The sequence below is a fragment of the Homo sapiens genome, chromosome 8, assembly GCF_000001405.40.
Source record: "Homo sapiens chromosome 8, GRCh38.p14 Primary Assembly".
Taxonomy (NCBI): domain Eukaryota; kingdom Metazoa; phylum Chordata; class Mammalia; order Primates; family Hominidae; genus Homo; species Homo sapiens.
This window is the reverse complement of record NC_000008.11, coordinates 87,665,994-87,671,993: the sequence shown is the minus strand read 5'-3', so window position 1 is coordinate 87,671,993 and position 6,000 is coordinate 87,665,994. Positions and strand designations below refer to the sequence as shown.

Sequence of the window (6,000 nt, the reverse complement as noted above, 5' to 3'; positions counted from 1 at the left end):
ATTCAATGCTGTCTTATTCAGAGGGCTTAAACTATCTGTTTCTTTCCCTTAACATGTTCTCCACACAGGGAAGTCATGATTCTCTACCTCTGCTGTATAATAACACCTGTCAGTGTCTAAGTCAATGCTGGAGGAATAGCAGTTAAAAATTGAAGATTTCCACAATTGCTTCAAATTACCTTAAATAATATTTTGGTGAGCTACTCATTTAATACTTAAATATTTGTTAGTCAAATGGTCAGCTATTCTAATATTTAAATCTTACTACAGCAGACAGCTTAGCTCTAACTTTGAACATGCCTATTAAAAAACCTTCAGGTTAAAATGAAATGTCATCTTATGGCTTTATTCATTTATTAAACAAATATTTATTGTTTATGATATGCCCATCACTGCTTTAGGTACTGAGGATAAGTCAGTGATCAAAACAAAGATCCCAGAATTTGTGAGATCCTTTACTTTTTACTCAATTAGACTGTAATTAATATATTTACATTCTTTTTGTCATGTGTTCATCTTTCAGATGTTAAAAGATATGTTTTATGTACATCTTTGGTCTTTTTTTCCCCTAAGTCAAGTGTTCTCTGTTAGTTAAAGGAATATTTGTGAAACGTATTTTAAAACCTTGCTACGGTATTTAACACCCTCTGGAAGCTAAATATTCCTCAGAGTAGCACAAAGGGGATGTATCAGAATGGCAAAGTAAAATAGAATATTGATATGCTTAATCCAGAAAAATCCATAAACAAAGTGAACTGTTTGGGTTTCAAATGACCTCTTAGACAAATAAGTCAGCTTTTAAGCATTGATGACTTTGGTGGTTTCTTGGATCCCAAATAATTCCCTAGCTAGGACATGTTTCTTTTATTAATTATTTTATTAATATACTCCTGGCTGGGTGGAGTTTATTCATAATTACTTTCCATTCTCCTTATCCTTCTGCCTATAAGTTATTTCCCCCAGAATTATTCAACTATATTAGGTAAAAGTCCTATGAAGCCTTCGTTGATTTCTTCAAATATATTTGTGGGTAGTCTTGATACTTTATGAAAGGGAGTCAATATCTTTGAGGAATACCTACACTCAATTGTGTTGGGAACAACTTTTCTGCCAATGACTTCATTTTCTTCTGAAGTCACTGCTTATCTAAACTTAACCGAGCCCTTCAGAGGGCTGGATTGAAATGTGAGAGGTGTAGGTATGCAGCAACTACACAGACTGAAGGCATCTTGAAATGACAACTAACGAAATAAGTTGCATTTCTGGTCAGAAATACGGAAACACGTTTGATTAAGGGTTTAATGAAAGTCTGAGATCAAAGCATTTTTGTAAAAGTATAAAAAGGCATTGTGAAGATTTAATTTTTTCATTTCTTTGTTTTTGGAATTATCACTTCTCCACAAAGACTAAATTATGTTAATGACAGTTCACTGCTCTTGCTGGGCCCTCAGTGAATACTGACTGCACTGAGGTGGACTTCATTAAAAGTACTGTCAACCTTTTTTCCCTAATCTTAATAGTAATACAGAGTTCAGAAAAATGCAGTTAAGTGACACTAAGCCATATTCTAGCAGCTTGCAATTTCATTGTCAAAAATTCATGAACATCTCAGTGAAATAATTTTGAAATTAAGATAACAGCCACCACCAGCAAATCTGGAAACTGTCAATATTAAATTGAAAAAAAAAGAGGAGAGAAAATGGTTGTAAACCTTACTTACTACTATCCTTTCATCTTGCTTTGTATATTTCACTTGCCCATCTTATCATCTTTACAAATCATAGAATCTCAGCTGAATATTTGAAAGGTGAAATCTACTTCACTAGGCTCATAAAAGACCTAATGTAGTTCTACTTCTCCCATAATGTCAAGTTCAGTTATTCAGCCCTACATGCTAGAGACTCTTTTAGGAATTTCATCTTATGTTTGAATTGACTCCATAACTGGAAGCTCACTGCTTCATGAGGTGCTCCATTATCATTGTAGACAACAAGAGTTGTGTGTACAAGACTTGCAAATGTAACTAGTTAAAATGAGGTCATACTGGATTAGAATGGGTCCTAAATACAGTGATTCATGCCCTTATAAGAAGGCCATGTGAAGACACAGAGGAGAATGCCATATGGCAACAGAGGCAGAGATCAGAGAGATGCAACTGCAAGCCAATGAATGCCAAAGATTTCTGGCAACTACAAAAAACTAGGAAGAGTCAAGGAAGCATTCTTCCCCAGAGCCTTCAGAGGGAGCATGGCTTGCTCACACCTCACTTTTGGACTTCCAACCTCCAGAACAGTAAGAGAATAAATTTCTGTTGCTTTAAGCCATCCAGCTTGTGATAATTTGTATGGCAGCCCTAGGAGACTAATATACAAGCATACAAACACCTTCTTTATCTTTTACTCTGAAGCATCACAGTACAAGTTTATTCCCTTTTACTTATGACAGCCTATCCAATACCAATATTAATGTTTTAGTCTGGCCTTCCCAAGCTAAAATAAACAGTTCCTTCAAACGTTTTTTGATGTAGCACCATTACACCCTGGTTTCTATACCTCAAAGATTTGTAGTTTGCCAACCCCTTATTAAAATACCACGTCCAAGACTGAATATACTACAGATGTGGGACTTCCAAGGCAAAGTAAAATATGTCTGAATTTAATCATTGAACAGAAAAAGTATATTATTTCTATCTAACATTATGTGAGGCTTTTAAACAGCATCTTTACAGCATTAAAACATATTACAATTATAACCTACTAAAATTTCTAAATCTTTGTTCTGTAAACTTTATCAGTGTCTGACCATATCCAGCATATGCTTGTGCCAGGGATTTATTGGACCAATAAATACATTAATATATGTTCCTGTGAAATTGATCTCAGTTTGAGGCTATGATTTTAGCTACAGTAATATTTTCTAATTTGGATTTTGAATACCAGTGCATAAGATCTTTCCTGTAATTTTGTGTTGCTTGAGAATATGATAAGCCTGCTATCTATATTTTCATTTATGTTGCTGATAGAAATGCCAAACAGGAAAGATAAAGTTCGTAAAAACAAAATCATGGCAGAGTTCAGTGGCATGTAAATATAGTATTTCCTTTAAGTAAATATCAACAAATTATCAATATTCTTTAGGAAACTATTTTACCAGAGAGGAATCCATAAAATAACATTAATACTGTCAATATTTTATCATATAATTCACCAGAAGATCATAAACTGCCTAGAATAGCTTGTGTTCAACAAAACTTTAGCAATGCCTATATTATATTAATCTGCCAATAAAATAATAATTTAAAAATAAAATCAAGTTATTTTGTCATCATTAATAAGTGGCAGAATTTTAATGTTTTTAATGTTTACAAACCATCTATTTGATATGATATTACAGATTTTTCTCTCAACAGATTGCTTACAAATTTATGGTTTCTAAAATGAAACTTTTGTCTCTTCTTCAACATTTACTGACAAAAGTTTTGATTTATCAGCAATTTCAACTGTGGTAACAATAATTAATAGATTTAGTAAATATATTCTCACCTGTCCTGGTATTCCAATTTTCTATTTGTGGTGTTTGTCCTAAACTTTTTGGTATAATGACCACTCTCTTCGAAGGAAAAGGCTAAAGCACAACAGACATTGATTAGATTTTCCTGATGTATTAACTTTACTCTGTTTTCCTGGAGCAAGAATCTCATTTCATCCTAGTTTATTTTTCTGTAAATAGAGCAGACAGTAGCCTTCTTTCAATGGCTTCAAAGAAACTATATCCTTAAGGATCCCTTTTAACACTCGCCTTTGTGGCACTTACATTCACAGCATTTACATAAATAATCTTGCTGTGTTAAGACTTTCTGTTTTCAGGCTGGGTACAGTGGTTTATGCCTGCAATCCCAGCCCAGGCAGGAGGATCACTTGAGGTGCTATTGTACTCTAGCCTGGGCAACAGAGTGAGACCATGTCTCGAAACAACAAAGACTTCTATTTTCAGAAGTCTTCTGAGAAATGCAAATTTTATATTTTTTGTAACTTGTGTCCCGTAAGAAAATTTCCTAAAGTTGTGCAGTGTAGGTTATTAGTGTTTTAAAAGATATTAAATTTATTTTAGGAGAAAATTAAGGCTTCTGCATATAAATATATTTGGGGAATGTCCACTGTAGCTTTTCTCTTGGTGTCTCACTGTATAGTAGCTAATATGTTAAAATTAACAAGGATAACTCCTGCAGCAAAGGAACCCCGTTAACTTTGTGTTTCATAAAATTCCTTGGGCACAAAATATTTTTTCCTCAGAATACCTCCTAACATCTATTCAAAGGAATACATTTGAGAAAGCATTGAATTAAATTATTAACCCTCAGGACTGTGGTATGATCTACTTGATCATATGAGTCAGAATGACACAGAGATGCTCCGTCTAGACCCACCCTCAAAGAATAATTTCTGCCCAGCTGTGGGAAATGCAGTCAGCACATTGCTTCCAGCTGACAGTTCTGAGAGCAGCTGTCCCAGAGTTCACAACACCTAGGGGAGCCATCATGTGGCAACTGAACAACAGGGGGTATAAGGATCTAGTCATTTAGGTCCAATGTAGTACAGCTCTGATGAACAGGATTTGCTTCAGAGTTTCCTGCTAGTTTGGCCAAGGGTTCTTCAGGCCTTTATTTGCAATTCAACTTCTTTTTCTGCCTAATCCTACTTCCTCTCCCTTCTTTTCTCAAGGGCTAATCCCACATCTTGCACATCAAACTACATCCCAGCATCTGTTTCTTGAGAACTGTGATAGATGGAAAGCAGGAATTAAAAAAAATGCATTAAAGCAATTTTCTTTGGAAAAAATATATCTTTGTGAGAGGTGGGAGGAGAAGACAAGCTCAGGGCAGAGGCAGTGTTCGAGTGGCAGCATGGGGAGGTGCACCCCACATGGATATGACACATGGACAGGGAGACCATAACTAGGATTTGTCAAGGCAGAGACAGTAAGAAAGGCAGAGAAGGAAAGAAAATAAATGATACCAAGGACAAATATAGTTGCTACATTATTTTGGTTGGCCTAATGATAGGTCTAAACATGCCATGTTTCTCTGGTCTCAGGGCCAAGGACAAAGCTAGCTTTAATTTTAAACAAGACTATAAATTAGAGTCTGGGCCAGATTGTCAGTCCATTTCATTATCTTGCCTAATTTCAAATCTCTGCTGAAATTGGCGTCATGGCTAGATGCAGGAAGTGGTGATGCTTATTCAGCAAAAATATTTTTGAACTGAGATTTATATCCAGACAAATGAACTAGTCAACTCAAGAGAATATAAAATAGGCTTAAACCAGTTTTTGGGACAAATTGAATTGATTCATTGGGCCACTTAAGCAAGAATGCAACTCCAAAATCTAGCCAAATTGAGCAAGTATTCTGTGAAATTATTTTCAAAATAGACATATACAAAATTATATCTAAAACAGATATAAAATGCTACTTTGGTTAGTACATGTTGAATTAATCACTTAATTTAGTTCTCAGTACATGATGCCCTTGTTTTTTATAATTGCATCCTATTGGCCAATAGAGTCTCTCCTTGACCCCTTCACAGAAACGTCTCTCAAAGAGGCATGTGTTATTCTGAGATATTTGAGAAGACCACATTTTCAATCAAGCTCTTATTTTGAGAGGAGGGCATGTTTTATTTCCTATTTGGTGTGGACACATAGACAATGTAATTTGTAAATTCAGAAAATAAATAAATATGACTTACTTTAAAATACTTCTTCCACTTCAAATCTACGTTCTCTGCCATATTCTATTCTCCAAGGATTTCTGTGTTTTTTGAGTATGAGAAATGATTTATGAAGATTTGTGAAAATGTAAGATATCATAATGCATTGTAATTATTTGCTGTTATAGTTGAACCTAGGTTCATCTCCAGGAAAGACCCTTTCTTTCTTTTGATAGTGGAGTTTGAATGCTTTGATTGTTGTTCTAGGAAACAGTTAGAGACCAATACTTCT

At 34.7% G+C, this 6,000-nt stretch overlaps 1 long non-coding RNA gene across 1 annotated transcript in view; it reads right to left on the bottom strand.

The window, feature by feature from the left end:
* Nucleotides 1-3,562: 3,562 nt before the first annotated feature.
* The window catches only part of LOC105375626 (uncharacterized), a 58,659-nt gene continuing 56,221 nt past the window's right edge, over nucleotides 3,563-6,000 (bottom strand). The window contains exon 3 of the long non-coding RNA XR_928380.2: nucleotides 3,563-3,624. This is a non-coding gene — a long non-coding RNA (uncharacterized LOC105375626). The remainder of the gene's footprint in view (nucleotides 3,625-6,000) is intronic.